Source organism: Homo sapiens, chromosome 21 (assembly GCF_000001405.40).
Source record: "Homo sapiens chromosome 21, GRCh38.p14 Primary Assembly".
Lineage (NCBI taxonomy): Eukaryota > Metazoa > Chordata > Mammalia > Primates > Hominidae > Homo > Homo sapiens.
Genome location: NC_000021.9, coordinates 22,896,617 through 22,914,627, shown reverse-complemented (window position 1 = coordinate 22,914,627; position 18,011 = coordinate 22,896,617). Strand labels below are relative to the sequence as shown.

The 18,011-nt window shown below is 33.7% G+C and overlaps 1 annotated feature.

Moving 5' to 3' along the window:
- Positions 16,286-16,580: a silencer, noted in NCBI's record as "tiled region #6786; HepG2 Repressive non-DNase unmatched - State 24:Quies, and K562 Repressive non-DNase unmatched - State 24:Quies". NCBI's record gives its function as "represses a minimal TATA promoter and a strong SV40 promoter by Sharpr-MPRA in HepG2 and K562 cells {active_cell/tissue: HepG2 | K562}" and the evidence as "EXISTENCE:reporter gene assay evidence [ECO:0000049][PMID:27701403]".

Here is an 18,011-nt window from a genome sequence, read left to right as displayed (position 1 = left end):
GCTCTATTAAAGTAAAAATAAAAAAAACTATAAGAGTAAAAATATGACAACTATTAGAGTTACAGTTTCACAGTAGGTTCTCATTAACTGGCAGCAATTATTATTATCATTGTTATTTTTATTAGTAGTAATAGTATTGTCATTATTCCTTTAACCATTATAAGTTTTTGAATCTGGAGAGACAAAGGAATGAGAGAATTTAACAAAAATATATATGCTGTTACAATTTGTAGTTCTATGAAGTTGTGGTTCCTAAGCAATCAGGCACAAAGCAGAAAACGTAGGCAAGAGGATTTGAATGAATTTATGTCTTTTTTCTCCACAATTCTTTTTAAAAATGACAATTTACATCTGGCCTGCCAGCGATTAATAATCCTGTTGTTCCTGCAGAGCTAGTAATGTGTTCCATTGTGGAAACCTTCTTAGAAATATTTCTTAAGCTATAGTTAATATTACATTCTAATTATGTGACTGAACATTCAGGTAAGTTGAATGGATTAATTAAAACTAAATAATTCATAACTCCAAACTTTGTGATTATGAGAAGCTTTCTTAGGCAAATTCCAATGTTCTAATTCCATGAATGAACAAGAAAACAGCTACCAAGATATTTTTAGGAACTTCAGCAGAATGGTACCAAGAAAAATGCTAAACTGAATCCTCAATCAACATGATCCACTATAAAATGGCAATACTGATATACCAGTGAATGTTATTTTTTTCTAGTTAGATAATTATTTGCTAAAGCAAATTTTTTCCAAACTAGAGTGGAAGAAATATTAGGTAGAAAACTAAGTCTAATTATATATTTAACTAATAAATGTAACTGAATAATGATTTTTTTAAAAATCATTACTTTTAGAATGGTAATTTGAGGTGGCTAAATATTAACATGTGAATTTAGAGAATACATATAATATGCATGTATTTATGAAGAAAAATCTATGCTTGGAAAATAAATGGTTTAATTAACTTACAAATTTTATATTATAATAAATTCAACAGTGGGAAGACCTAAATATATTCAGTTATTTAAACTATTTGATATTTATACTTGCCATATGAATTGCACATATTCAAATTTAAGGTAAAATAGAGTTAACTTAAAATGTATTTAAAACTTACTAGTTTATAAGCACTTATATTAGAATGATATAAATTATATCACAGAGCATATTGTAACTTTCCTTATGTGAGTACAGTTTTGGCTTATTTGCTTTCATTAGTAGCATGACAAATTTTTACATTTAAAATTTAACATTTAAAGTCTCCAGAGGAAATATTTATTTTTTCTGTAATTTTGGTGAAATATATGTTACTATTCAAATGTCAATTACTAAAGGTAAATTTTATATATATATATAGGAAATTTAACTTTCTATGTTGCAAGAATAAGTTTATTAATCTTGGTTTTCTAGAATAATGTGAGATACTTTAGGAAGATGAAGTGAATAAGTTGTTTCTTCTTTACCAGAAATCCAATGGTTGACTCTTAATTATGTCTCTGAGAACTGATGACTGTGTTACATTGAATGTTCTCAAGATCATGATATCAAAAGTGTTTTCAGGCATTATGCTTCCCTTCTAATAAAAAGTTTAGATAGCGCCTGAAGTTCAATGGAAGGTAAATTGAGTACCTCATTCCAAAAATAATAATGAACAAATGACAATGATAATACATATTGACAGGAAACAATTCCACAAGAATTCCTCACTTCTACTCCATAAGGTGATTAGATAATTTAAGATAATGAAAATCTAATTTGCAGAATTTCTGAAAAATCAACTTCTAAACTGTAAGAATAATTTGGTTTACAATGTCCTAGATTACAGCATCTTCTACCAATATTTAGTGAAAACATTGAATGACACACATATTTGAAAGTCGTAGATTTTTTCATGTACTGTACAAATCGTGTCATTGTCAACTTAGTGTTTACTTTTCCCTAGAAAAGTTTCCTGCTGGAAGAAATGAAAAACATGGCCCCACAACCTTTTCTGTGTCTCACATGGGATAGTCAATATTTTTTTGCACAGAAGGACAAACACCATAAGCAAATCAAATGATTGCCTGTGACATTTCTTCCAAATATTTACAGATGATTTTTCAATGGAATTTTTAAATAAAGGCTTTTTCTTAAATTACTTAAGAAGGAATCAGTAGTGATTGTTAGTTTGGTATATATCACAAAAGTTTAATAGGCTTCTCATATTGAAATAAAAATACTAATATGTCATGCATATGTGTATATAAATATATATCTCAAAGACAATTTTAAAATATTTTTACCATTATTTTTCATTTTTCAAATTCTAAATGACACAGGAAATGTGTTGTGTAAAGATCAACTCATATCCCAACACTTTGAGGTAAGCGTGTAAACATTTTAATGACCATTTATTTTCAAATATCTTGTTATATACGTAATTGGGATAATATAATAAAGTTGATATTTCTTGTAATTACCTGTTTCCTCCCTCCATCATTACCATTATCCATGATCATCACCCAAACAAACAAGGGATATGTGCCCTTTGACATATTTGTATGTATGTACATATATGTCTGCATATAAACATAAATATTTTTCATTGTAGAGATTATTATTGTCTTAAAAAGCAGGATACTATTGTACATATTTTCTGCATCTTGCTTTTCCTACTCAACTCTATCTTATTTAAAAATCCCTCCACATTATCAGGTATTACTTAAATTTTTCTTTTTAGAGAGTGTGTGATATAACACTTTTATTATGACATTCTCCTACTAATAAGCATTTATTTAAATTCTTATTCTCATCCACTGTAAAAAATGCTTTAATAAGCATCTTTGAACATTTTTCTACATCTTATCTAGTAAGGAAGATTCAAAGGATCAAAATTGCATTTATTAATGTAAAAGTATGTTGCTAGATTGCCCACATTAAACTCATGAATTACTATTTTACACTAGCAATGTAAAAAAATACAGGTTTCCTAGATACCTGCCAGGAATGAATTATAAGTTTTCAAATGTTTTGCCTTTCTGCTAGGTGTAAAGTATCATCTCACAGTCACGTTAATATCCATCTTTCTAGAACCAAATATTTTAGCATTTTTCACAGGCTCCTAAGTCATTTTCTACTCATTTTATGTGGCTATTTTTGTTCTGAAGTGCTGACCTTTTCGTTTTCAATAAAAATAATTATATTTCGGAAAAAATGTACATTTTTCCTGAATTAACATTTATCTATTTAATTTGGTAGGGTTTGTATTGGTTTTTTATTTTGTTTTGTGCCAGGAGACTTTATTCTTTTTTGTGCTTTTACTTGATAGCATTCTGTTTAGAAATTTGTCTCCAACCCCCATGATCTGTCTAAAGATATAATCTTCTAGGTACTTTGTAATATGTTTACTCTGTATTTTGTATTTAATTGCCAACCTTTGAAAGTATTTTAATATAAATATCTGTATGCTCTGTTTATATCAGGGTAAATATTCAGTTAATTAAATAATTCATCCTTTTAAAATTAAATGGAATTACCAATTATACATATTCTCAGCTGATATAAACTTAACTCTACTTTTAGATTACTTAAGTTTTTTAATATTTTCATTTATGTTTCTAATACTATACTAATGTTATTAACATCATCTTTTTCTACTTCCTGGTGTCAGGGATCAATCTTCCCTTCATTTTCTTTGCATTTTCATGTTTTCTAGATCTAAAAATTAAAAATAAAAGTTTTGACAATTTTTATAAGTTTTCTTTTTCACATTCTAACTGAAATTATATGAACTGTGTAGGTTAATACAGGGAACATTGATATTTAATGAGATATATTTGCGTATTAATTTATTAATGGAATTAAATTTATTGAGAATTTTTTTACAACTGAGCAGCCAAACTTGCTCATAAAGTGTTATTCTTTTGAAGTTTCTGTAGACTTTACTAAAATTTTTATTTATATATATACACAATTGATCTATATTTTCTTTTTGAAAATTTTTATTTAGTTTTTGTATTAAACTTGTTATAGAATGATAAAACTGTATTAAAATGTTTTAATGTTTTTAATGCCTAGAAGTATTAAAAACATGAACATATTTTTAATACAGCTAAATATCCTTGCTTATATGTTCTATTAATATTAGATAAATCTAACCTGTGGCGTTCATTTTCGGTGATACCTCTCTAAACATATTTCTAATCACATCTATGGTAATTAGTTCATTCAGGTTTTACTTTTATTAAGGTGGAATGTTGATCATTTTAAATGAGCTATTTGTAAGTGTTTTCCTCAAGGTATTTATATATTTCAGCCATAATTTAATGTATTATATTTTATTATTCAAATAATATGTTCTACTTACGGTTCCTTTGATATTTCCCATTTATCTATTTTTATTCTTCATTTTACTTAACGAGAAAAATCCCCTGCATAGTCTTTTTAAGGCATGGGTTTTGGATATATTTTTACTTTATAATTTTTTTTTATTTTTTGTCTTTTCATTTCTAATGTTATGATAAATATCCTCTTTCTTTTTTTTATTGCTATCCTTCTAAAAAATTCTTTTTAAAGACATCCCTTCAATAGCCTTTTATGACTTAGAAATGCTATAACGTATGTCTATCATGAATATTAAATTTTCATGGAAATACAACTTTTGTAGTCCCCTATAAAGGTTAGTGTAAAGTGTTCTCTTTCTTTAATTTTGTAGACAGTAATAGCCAATTTAGTAATCAAATATATGATTCAAGGGTTTTTTTTAAGTATTGCTTTTTTCCAATCATCTTTGGGTTTTTGAACACATAAATATTGCTTATTCCTAATTTGATTACTCAATGAGACACTATATCCTTTAAGCACCCTTTTTTTTATTATTATACTTTAAGTTTTAGGGTACATGTGCACAATGTGCAGGTTAATTACATATGTATACATGTGCCATGCTGGTGTGCTGCACCCATTAACTCGACATTTAGCATTAGGTATATCTCCTAATGCTATCCCTCCCCCTTCCCCTGACCCCACAACAGTCCCCAGAGTGTGATGTTCCCCTTCCTGTGTCCACGTGTTCTCATTGTTCAATTCCCATCTATGAGTGAGAACTTGCGGTGTTTGGTTTTTTGTCCTTGTGATAGTTTACTGAGAATGATGATTTCCAATTTCATCCATGTCCCTACAAAGGACATGAACTCATCATTTTTTATGGCTGCATAGTATTCTATGGTGTATATGTGCCACGTTTTCTTAATCCAGTCTATCATTGTTGGGCATTTGGGTTGGTTCCAAGTCTTTGCTATTGTGAATAGTGCCCCAATAAACATACGTGTGCATGTGTCTTTATAGCAGCATGATTTACAGTCCTTTGGATATATACCCAGTAATGGGATGGCTGGGTCAAATGGTATTTCTAGTTCTAGATCCCTGAGGAATCACCACACTGACTTCCACAATAGTTGAACTAGTTTACAGTCCCACCAGCAGTGTAAAAGTGTTCCTATTTCTCCACATCCTCTCCAGCACCTGCTGTTTCCTGACTTTTTAATGATTGCCATTCTAACTGGTGTGAGATGGCTCTTTTTTAAAAAAGGAAATCATTGACTTTTTGACCCAATGCATATCCATGTTGATTTTGTAAGTGTTCTACGGACGGCCAGGTGCGGTGGCTCATGCCTGTAATCCTAGCACTTTAGGAGGCTGAGGCGGGTGGATCACGAGGTCAGGCATTCAAGACCAGCCTGGCCAATATGGTGAAACCCCGTCTCTATTAAAAATACAAAAATTAGCTGGGTGTGGTGATGCAAGCCTGTAATCCCAGCTACTCGGGAGGCTGAGGGAGGAGAACCTCTTGAACCTAGGAGGCAGAGGTTGCAGTGAGCCGAGATCGGGCCACTGCACTCCAGCCTGGGAGACAGAGCGAGATTCCGTCTAAAAAAAAAAAATGGTACTTAGTAACAGTGTTGTTATTTTAAGAGGGAATAAAATATAACAACAGTGGAAGTGTGAAAGATAAAACACAGATGTGTGTCATTATATAAACTTTAATACTGAAATACAATGATATGAATTTCACAAACTAGACATGAAATGCTGTCTTCTTACTTTGCAGTCATATCTAGTAGCCAGTGGAATTTAATGTCAACTTTATTCAGAGACTTAAACACCCTCCATAGTTGTTACCACTCACCCATGTCATTTAACACAAATGTCACAGACAAGAAAACGGTAATATATCCTGTACATAAAAGGGACCTGTGTATGACTTTTAATTAAAATAAAATTATCCACACATATATTCTCAACCTTCCTTTCTTCCATTTTCTCTCTGAGTCTTACTAATAATGATGTTTTTTTCTGCATGTAGAGCTGAAGATGTTAAAATTTTTCCTATTAAAGTGACATGACTTTGATTTATTCACATCTTCTTTTTCTGATCAACAGACATGTATTTGCATTTTTCTACACAAAGACTGTAGAAAAGTCTTAGCACCCTGAAATTACTTGACTATCTCTATTTGATATTCTTTGGTCAGACCAGGACAAATCCACGAAGCTTATTTTCAATACCTACCTCCCACTCCTTTAGGATTTCTTTCAACTCAAATATACCACCCTCTGGTACATACTTTTCTGACCTTCTCATAAGCCCTTGAAATCTAAACTAAAGGCACATAGAATAGAATGGATTGGAGTGGAATGGAAATGGAGTAAATGGAATAGAATAGAATAATAGAATAATTCCAACTACTTATGATTTCAAATATCTCTCTTCCCAATGAAATGATAACATGAGGCTATTTTTTAAACATGAGCTGGGACGTAACGAGGTAAAGTATATATTCTATATGACTAATTAGGAATATAACATTACAGAGTATCAAATTAATGAGAGATATGTTGTCATAATATGCAAAGTAGAAAGTTTAGTTTATGTGTATGACTGGGTTCAGTTAGCAAATGTTAGCTGTAATGTGAAATATTATTCTAATTAGTATCATTTAAGCTTATAAATTATTGCTTACAATGTAATAATGTAATTTACTTTCAATAAGCACCTTAGTGTTTTCTCTTTCTTTCTCTGTGTCTCACTCACTTTCTCTCTCCCTCTGTGCCTTCTTCCCCTCCTTCCTCTCTTCTTGACCACTTTCTCTGTACTGAAATTATGGTATTATTAGCTCCTGGTGGGGAAATCAGACACAATGACAAGTAATTACACTGTATTATCACAAATGTCATGAATGCAAAAAGATTGGTGTGACAAATCCATACTGAGAAAGTTGGAAAACCATGTTTAATCCGGGTCTGTAGGGACTGTAAGAGTGGGTTGTATTTTATTAGGATGACAAAAAAGAACATGAAATTTAAACCCAGATACTTGTAACAGAATCTTGTGTTTGAGAAACTGGAAATTCAGTACAAATAGATCATCTAAAGCATGAACCATGGCAGTAACAGAAAATGGAATTAGAATGAGTTCTCAGAGACATTTCAGGAACTCCCTTTGTCCTTCAGTGATTAGCAAGTCCATGATCTCCAGTAATTTAATTTTTCAGTTAAAAGTAGAAGAGTGAAAAACAAATAGAGAAGAATGGATAGGGATGATTATCTATTAAAATAGTCATAGCATGAGATAAGGACAACCAGATACTAGTCAATGGCAGTGGGAATTTAGAGAATCAGGAAATACTTAATCGAGACTTTGGACTGAAGACAGTGGTTGCTGCTGCTTCGTTCTATTAGATCACTGTGTTAATAACTAATAATAAATAGATACATTCAGGAAGTATAGCACACTGAACTATTACTGGCATTTATAATTTATAAAACAAAATATTTTATAAAATTTAAGTGAATTTTATTTATTTTTATTGCATATACCTCAAATAATATGTTGCTTAATTATAGCAACATTTTGAAGCAGGCATTATTACCAGTTTGGTAAATGACCAAATAAAAAGTTCAGCAATTTTAAATTGTTCATCTTCACACCTGAGAATGAAGTTTCAAATCAGCTTAGGTTTGCCACAGTGTCATTTTTTTTAATTCAATCAAACAGTTCTAAATTGCTTAAATATCTGTATGTCTTTCCTATACATTAAGTAAGCAGCCACAGTGTGACAGTATTGAAGCAGTGAGGCAGCTGAGAGACAAGAGGGATCATTGGTGTAAATGCTGAAGAGGTGTTAAAATTAACTTGTTTGGTTTCAAAAGTCAAAACAGGGTGATAGAAATAAATTGTATCTACCCTTACCCAAAGATTAACGGACATATAAAATATTTATATTTTTGTCATGTATAAAACATATTATCCCCAAACCTTTGCAAACAGGAAAAAAAGTATATAAGGGTTTAATTTCACTTGTCGTGGGATTTAAAGGTAATACTGTGGAGCAAGAAGGCCTTTTTTGTAATTGTCACATTTTACCACAGGCAACATCTGGAATGCCAGCACTGTGAAGCTCATTAAGTCTCAAGGACAGATATGAATACAAATTGGTGACACAGAAAAAAAAAAAATATATATATATATATATATATGTCAGAGGATCTTTATCATAACTTTAATTACAGATCTAAAGAAATATGTTTTGATTTCAGCATGGACCTACTTGTATTATTGCAGCTGGCCAAGGAGCAAATATAAATGAAACCACAGAAATATTAAAGTTAATGAGTTTCTAAAAGTCATTTATTCATGCCTTCTCATAATTTTCAAAAAATAAGAAGGCCTAGAAATATAAATATCCTGCCCTAGTCAAGCTTTTAATGACATCCTAAATTACAGTTTAGGATTTCTGGTGTTCCATTACATGCCCCTTCACAAAGCCAAACAAATAATCTTGTTATAATGTCTTAAAATATTATTTTCATACAACAAAGCAGTGGCTTGGTCCTTTACGAAGAGAGTGAAAGAAATAAGCAAAATTGGACTGGTAACCTGAAGAAAACAAATTAACTGATTTTTTTTTTTTAAAGAATGATCACCATCAAGGAAGGAAAGTTTAATTTATCTTCATCTCCATTTATTTTTTCTTGTTATAATTTTATTTTTTCTATTAAAAAATGGTATCAAAGAATTCAGCCAGGGATTTATTGAAGTGAATGAAAGTGTATTGGCAGGAAACACTATCTTAAAGGCAATTGGCAGATGGATTTTCATAATTGCTTCTATCTACCCTTTAGAGCAGAAGGGTTGGAACATTTTTTCTTTTTTTTTTTTGTTCTTTTTTTTTTATTATACTTTAAGTTCTGGGATACACGTGCAGAATGTGCAGGTTTGTTACATAGGTATACACGTGCCATGGTGGTTTGCTTTACCCATCAACCCGTCATCTACATTAGGTATTTCTCCTAATGCTCTCCCTCCCCTAGCCCCCCACTGCCCGACAGGCCCTGGTGTGTCATGTTCAGCTCCCTGTGTCCATGTGTTCTCATTGTTCAACTCCCACTTATGAGTGAGAACATGTGGTGTTTGGTTTTCTCTTGGGATAGAACATTTTCAATTGCTCTGTATACCACTATCTCAATTAGACAATAAGATTTAATTAGAATACTCGAGCAAAAAGAGAGTTGCTTACATGGCATCCTAAGACAGAGGTCAAGATGAAGCAGGTGGACTAAAAACACTGCAGCATGTCAATGAGAAGCAACACTTCGGTGACCACCCTACCTATAGAAAGTAAGCAAAAGAAGATAAATGCAATGAGATTTTGAGTGTAGCAGTTTCAATCCTGTTAATTAGGCTGCATTCACGCTTCAGTGAGGCAGCAATTATGCCACTCCATCGTTCTATAGCCCATTGTGCAAATGCTGCCGTGATGTTCCTGGTAGATATAAAGGAGTTCCATCTGAGCCAAATGCTGAGATTTCATTACAATACTGTCCGCTTAATGGTGGGACTCCTAAAGTTTATATTTATTTGCCTTACAAATCAAATATATTAGTAAAATTATTACTGGTGTGTTTTGTTATTGTTGTTTCGAGAAAGGGTCTCACTCCTTCACCCAGGCTGTAGGGCAGTGCCCTACATGACTCACTGCCACCTCATGACTCTTGACTCACTGCCACCTCAATCTCTTGGGCTCAAGGGGTCGTCCCATCTCAGCCTCCCAAGTATCTGGGACTACAGGTGCATGCCACCAAGCCAGGGTAATGTTTGTATTTTTTGTAAAGATGGTTTTCTGTCATGTTACCCAGGCTCGTCCTGAATTCCTGGGTTCAAACAATCCTCCCACTTTGACCTCCCAAAGTGCTGGGATTACAGGCATGAGCCACCATGCCGGGTCTTTAAATATTAACTTTGTAATTTTCATATGGTTTCTGCCATTGAGGCCTTATGTGTCTGGAATCACCTAGTGATCATTTTAAACTTTTTATAAAATTAGAGACACACAATTTTTACATATAGTGCCACTTCTAACTTTGATCTTGATGGTATTTTTTATATTGGTGATGATTAATGTGCATTCATCCACAAAGAATCATAATAGTTTATATCTTACAAAAAGAAAAACAATGTTACAAGTGGGAAACAAAAAGTAAAGCACAGTTAGGCATTGCTTAATGATGATGATATGTCTTGAGAAATCCATCCTTAGGGGATTTTGCAATTTTGTGAACATCACAGAGTATACTTACACAAGCTTAGAAGGTATAGCCTTCTACACACCTAGACAATATGATATTACAGCCTATTGCTCCCAAGCTACAGACCTATATAGCATGTTACTGTGCTGAATATTGTAGGCAACTATATTCCTATCTATCTATCTATCTATCTATCTATCTATCTATCATCTATCTATCTATCTATCTATCTATGATACAGTAAGGCTGGGTATGGTGGCTCACACCTGTAATTCCAGCACTTTGGGAGGCCGAGGCAGGTGGATCATGAGGTCAGGAGATAGAGACCAGCCTGACCAACATAGTGAAACCCTGTCTTTACTAAAAATACAAAAATTAGCTGGGCATGGTGGCGCACACCTGTAATCCCAGCTACTCAGGAGGCTGAGGCAGGATAATTGCTTGAACCTGGGAGGTGGAGGTTGCAGTGAGCCGAGATTGTGCCACTGCACTCCAGCCTGGGTGACAGAGCGAGACTGTGTTAAAAAAAAAAAAAAAAAAAAAAAAAAGAAAGAAAAGAAAAAAAAGAAAAGAAAAAAGGGAAGGTACAGTAAAAATACAGCATAAAAGATGAAAAAATGGTACCCTGTATAGGGCACTTACCATGAATGAAGCTTGCAGGACTGGAAGTTACTTTGGGTGAATCAGTGAGTGAGTGGTGAGTGAATGGGAAGGCCTTAGACATTACTATATACTACTATAAACTTTATAAATACAGTACATTTAGGCTACACTAAATTATAAAAAATTTTCTTTCTTCAATAAGACATTAACCTTAGCTTACTGTAACTTTTTACTTTATAAAAGTTTTAATTTATTTAGCTTTTTGATTTTTGTAATAATACTTAGCTTAAAAATTAAACACATTGCACAGCTGCACAAAAAATATTTTATTTATATCTTTATTCTACATTTTTTTCTGTTTTTCTTTACTTTTTAGAATTTTCAGTTAAAAACTAAGACACAAACACATACATCAGCCTAGGCCTGTACACGGTGAGGATAATCAATATCACTGTATTCCACTTTCTTTTTTTCTTTTTTTTTTTTTTTTTTTGACACGAAGTCTCGCTCTTGTCACCCAGGCTGGAGTGCAATGGTGTGATCTTGGCTCACTGCAACCTCCGCCTCCCAGGTTCAGGCAATTCTCCTGCTTCAACCTCCTGAGTGGCTGAGATTACAGGTGCTCCCCACCACTCCTGGCTAAGTTTTTCTTTTTCTTTTTTTTTTTTTTTGTATTTTTAGTAGAGACGGGGTTTCACCTTGTTGTCCAGGTTGGTCTCGAACTCCTGACCTCAGGTGATCTGCCCACCTTGGCCTCCCATGAGTCATGGTCAGACTCATGACAGGCATGAGTCACTGCACTCGGCCTCCACTTTCACATCTTGTCCCACTGCAAGATCTTCAGGGGCAATAACAGGCATGGAAATGTCATCCTCTGATAATAATACTTTCTTCTGAAGCACCTCCTCAAGGACATGCCTGAGTTATTTTATGGTCAACTTTTTTTAATAAGTAGAAGGAGTATACTGTAATACAAAGATAGAAAATATAGTAAATATTTAAATATATAAATCAGCAACATAGTCATTTATTATCATTATGTATTGTACATAATTGTATTGCTACAAGTTTATACGACTGGAAGTATCCTAGGTTTTTTTTACATCAGCATCACCACAAACGTGAGTAATGCATTATTTGAGGACAGCATGATGGTTACACTGTCACTAGGTGATAGGAATTTTTCAGCTCCATTGTAATTTTATGGTACCACCATCAGATACGTGTTGCCTTATTTACTAAAATGTTCTGACAGGCTCAGCCTGTATTATGTTATGTATGTTACATACATGCAACATACATAATATTCTTTTATGTCCTCTTTCAACAACTTAATGATGAACATTTGCCTTTAATGTCCATATGTGTGTATTCACACACACATAGACACACATATATAAGTACATCTACCTATTCATGCTAGTACAAAAAGCATATTATATATGAACTACATTACATTTGGTTTAGTTTTATAAAAAGTACTCTGGATCACTAAGTTATTCTAATATAGATTTAAATAACTGATTTGAATCATGTCATCCTAATGTTTAATTAACGTGATATCAAAGCCCATCCAACCCTTATTTTTGATGTTCGGTTTGTCATCAATGAGAATGCAACCACAGTGAAAAGTATACTCAGTCACCTCTGAATACCAGCCACTTGCTCCGTTTGACAACATTTTTACAGAATTGTCAAGGCTAGTTTGTCTCTTCCTGCCCTCTAGTAAGCTAACTATTTTTTCAACTCTAAATGCCTGCCATTTAACCAAAACAATAGTAGCTAACAGCATAGGATTTATTTATTCTGCTGTTATTTGGACCAAAGATTTTAAATTCGTCTGGAAAGTAGACAGTCATCCCTCAATATCTGCAGGAGATTGGTTCCAGGGCCCCTGCAGACACCAAAATCTGTGGGCACTCAAGTCGCTTATATAAAATGGCATAGTGTTCACATATAAGCTACACACATCCTCCTTTATACTTTTTTTTTCGAGGGGGAGTCTTGTTCTGTCGCCCAGGCTGGAGTGCAGTGGCGCGATCTCAGCTCGCTGCAACCTCCGCCTCCCGGGTTCAAGCGATTCTCCTGCCTCAGCCTCCCGAGTAGCTGGGACTACAGGTGCCTGCCACCACGCCCGGCTAATTTTTTGCGTTTTCAGTAGAGAAGGGGTTTCACTGTGTTAGCCAGGATGGTCTCGATCTCCTGAGCTCCTGATCCGCCCACCTTGGCCTCCCAAAGTGCTGGGATTACAGGCGTGAGCCACTGCACCCGGCCACCTTTATACTTTAAATCCTCTGCAGATTACCTACAATAACTAATGAAATGTAAATGCCATGGAAATAGTTGTTATATTGTATTTTTTATTTGTATTGGCTTTTATTGTTACGTTTTTTTATTTTTATTTTTTCCTGAATATTTTCCAGCTGTGGTTGGTGGATACGGAAAGTCTACTGTAAATATATTTTTGCTTTCTTTTTTTCCTTGCCTGTTTTAAACATACAAAATTCATCCACTTTTTTTTCTTAAGGACCCAGAATGAATGAGCAAGGTGCCCTCTTGTTTGGTGAAGGAAAACAGCCTCTTTTCTTCTATGAGCTCAGAAAACTCTCCTAGGCTAATGGACATTGACAGTAAATGTTTTTTCAGGCTTTAGTCTGGATTGTGTTGATTAAACACTTCAGGAAACTTTACATCAGTTGTTTTTTTTCCTGTCCTACCGTGACTCAGGAACAGGCTCTGAATATCGGATTAGGCAAGAAGGAACTGACCTTTCAGAGTGTTTCTGTTTTATAATGTGATTAACATAGTCCCCAGATTCCTGACTCATGTGGTCATGTGAAAGAATTTTGCTGATATATTAGAATAAAATTGGTAATTATAGATATACCTGAAAATAGACTCCACACTTCTATAGTCTCCTAAAATGAAAATGGTATAGAGTTGCATAGATAAAATGAGGTGAAAAGGAAATTGCCCACTGTTTTTCTTTTCTGGTCTTAGCCAGAGACATTTTGACATGAAGGAACAGCTATTAGCCTGAGGACTTTTGTGAAAATGAATGAACCTGTTAAAAATGTGCAATAAATTATTATTAAAATTGGCCTGGTGCAGTGACTCACGCCTGTAATCCCAGCACTTTGGGAGGCCAAGGCAGGTGGATCGCCTGAGGTCAGGAGTTCGAGGCCAGCCTGGCCAACATGGCAAAACCCCATTTCTACTAAAATATTGGTTTTTGTTATTATGGCAGGAATTAGTTTTAGAGAAAGATTACACATGTCCATTTAGTAAGATGACAATTCAAACAAAGCTAGTATATATACAATGGCTGAAGTAGGAAATTATTTTGTTTCTCTCACAGATTCTACACATATAGATAATATTTCAAATTCCTTAATTTTATCATTTTTTAAATAATTTGAAGAGGCATATAGTTGGTTGTTTTGTCTTGGCCTAAAGATTAGTATTTGACTCATGACTTGACTTAGTGTTATTATTTGTGAGGATAATAAAAAAAAAATGGTTAAAATGCAAAACAAAATCATTATGAACAATTAAGATAGGTTTATTTTCTTGTTTTATCAAATGACCTTCTTTTACTTTTGGAGTCTTTATTGACTTGGGAAGTAGTGAAACCTATAAGAGTTTTACATGGAGTTGATAATGTAACTTGGTGATAACCGACCATGTCAGTGTCTTTTCCCTCCATTTGACAGGCTTCACTTGTTTTATGCTCTTTCTGTTTTCATCTCTATTGTAAGTAATATGTAATTTCCCTCATGGGTAAAAAATATAACCAGGAGAAATTTAATAACAATTTAATTTGGATGGGATGCCATGTTAGAAATACAGATCTCCAAATCTCCAACAAAGTCATTATAGTTGGTTTCTTCAGAGAAACAGAACCAATTGGATAGGTAGATAGATAGATCGATAGATAGATAGATAGATAGATAGATAGATATATAGACAGACAGACATACATACATATAGATATAGACATAGATACAGATTTATTATTAGGAATCGGCTTATGAATTAAGTGGAAAGTTCATTGTCTACAGTTGGCAAGCTGGAGACTCAGGAGAGTTCATGGTATAGTTGCAGTCTGAATCCAAGCCCGAAGACAGAAGACTGATGTCCCAGTTTGAAACAGTAAGGCAGAGAGAAATAATTCTTTCTTACTCAGCCTTTTATTCTATCCACGTCTTCAACAGATTAGATGAGGCCCATCCACATGGAGGAGGACAATCTACTCAGTCTACTGATTTAAATGTTAATCTCACCCAGAAACATCCTCACAGACACATTCAGAAGTAATGTTTAAGCAAATATCTGGGCAACCCATTTCCCGGTCAAGTTGACACTTTAAAACTGATCATCAGAGCAGCTCTCAAGTGTGAGTTTTAAAGTCACTGGTAGATTACTGTTTTCTGTACAATACAACCTGTAATTGCCTTGCCATCTTGTCAGGCCTTGTGAATTTGCCATTTTTTCAGGCACTTGAGCCCCTGCAAGTTTGTCCACCTCTGATTTGAATAGGCAATCGCTGTCATCTGGCAATCTGAGTAACACTGTACTATGCTCTAAACATAACACAATTTATCCCACCATACGTTATCCTCCAGACATCTTTTTCTTGAGCATTTTTTCATAGCACTTATAACATACTCACTTTTAGAGAATGTAAATATTTCATATGCTTTTTCACTAAAATGTAACCTTCCTAAGGGCAGAAATATTTGTCAGTATTGTTCTACTAACATATCTTGCTTTAATAGCAGGTACTTAATAAATAGCTTTCAGTGTTTCATAGGCCAAATTTGCCTCCAGAAATTGTTGCCAAGATTATGCCCCAATCAAAACTATCACCTATGCACTTTCTTCTCATATTTACTGGATCCTGTTCACACATATTTCCCAAATTCCTGATAGGTTCCACTTTTTATCATTCATGCGCGTGCAGACACACACACACACACACACACACATATAGTCATCCTCCCTTAGTGGTTCCTCTTTTCATGGTTACAGTTAACTGCAGTCAAATGCGGTCTAAAAATATTAAATGGAAAATTCCAGAAATAAAAAATACACATTTTAAATTGTAGCCTTTCTGAGTAGCATGAAGAAATCCCATGCCATATCACTATGTCTTTCCCAGGATCTGAATCATCCCATTGTCTAGCATATTATGCTGTAGACACTACCTACCCTTTAGTCACTTAGTAGCCAACTTGATTACCACATCGCAAAAGAGTATTTACATAGTTTGATGCTATTCGCCATTTCAGGAATTCACTGGGGGTCTTGGAACATATTCCTTGCAGATAAGGGATACTTAGTTATGTATCCATTATGTGCCAAACACTTTGGTAGTTTCCAGGGATATAACATTGTCTTAGGGACAAATTCATTAAAAGCATAGCGTGAGACATCATTTGTTAATGGAATATCCTTAGGAAAGGAAACATATGTAAGGGAGTAAAGAAAACATCCTAGGTAAGAGTATTGAATTGCATGGTGTCCCTCAAAAATTCATGTCTACCCAGGACCTCACAATGTGACCTTATGTGGAAATACGGCCTTTGCAGATGTAATTAGTTAAGATGATGTCACACTAGATTAGGGTGGGTCCTAAAATCAATACTTAGTGTACTTAATAAAAAGGGAAGAAGAGACACAGAGATATGCATAGGAAAGAAGGTCATATGATAAGAGAGACAGAGATTGGAGTTATTCAGCTACAGACCAAGGGATACCGATGATTGCTAGAAGCCACCAGAAGCTAGGAAGCTTGGAAGGATGCTTCCCTAAAGCCTTCAAAGGAAGCATGGACCTAGCAACACTTGATTTCTAAATTTTGCCCTGCAAAACTGTGAGAGAACAAATCCCTGCTGCTTTCAGTCACCTGGCCTGTGGTAATTTGTTACGCAAGCTCCAGGGATTTAATATAGCAGGGAATGAATCTAAGCAGAGAGATGGTTATGGCTGAAGTCGAGAATTCCAAGATTTGGCATGTAAACAGCATCAATATTCTTTTTTATTTGTTTATTTATTTTTAGTTATTAATGCCTTTTTGTCCTACCTAAGGTTATAAGAACTTTTTCCTATGTTTTCTTTCAGTAATGTTTTAGAATCAGCTATTATATTTAACTTACACGTAAGCTACTTTTTTAAAAAATGTTTTGTATAAGGTTTATAATTTATACACACAGACAGACACACACACACACACACGTATTTATATATATTCCATTTGGTTAATCAGTTCTTTCAGCATGATATTTTGGAAAACCTATCCTTCTCTCTTTGAATTATCTTGGTATCTTTATTAAAAAACAATTGGCCAAATCAACTCTGTACAAGTGTCTATGAAGATACAGATCTTACTTATGAAGGGAAACTTGGTTCTAATTTTAGTGAAGTTTCAGGGTAGTGGTAGAGATAGAAAATTATCTGTTGAGTTAATTTAAAAACTGAGTGAGAGTATCTGACTTTATTCAAAAAATATATAAAGTAAAATATACTTTAGAATAGTTTAAGCCCACCTGTCTTCATTAACTCTTGAAATGAATTTTGTATTAACTATTAAAGCCAGGTAGTATAAATCCTCCAGCAACTTTATTTTTCAAAAATACTTTGTCTGCTTTGGCCCTTTGCATTTTCACATAAATTTTATAGTTGTCCATTTCAACTAAAAAAGAAACGTCTCCTAGGATTTTGATTGAAATTGCTTTGCATTCATAGATGAAATTTACACAATTGAAATTTTAACAACAGTATGCTTCTAACCTAGAAAGCATATCTCTACTCTAATTTGTATTCTTTTTAAGT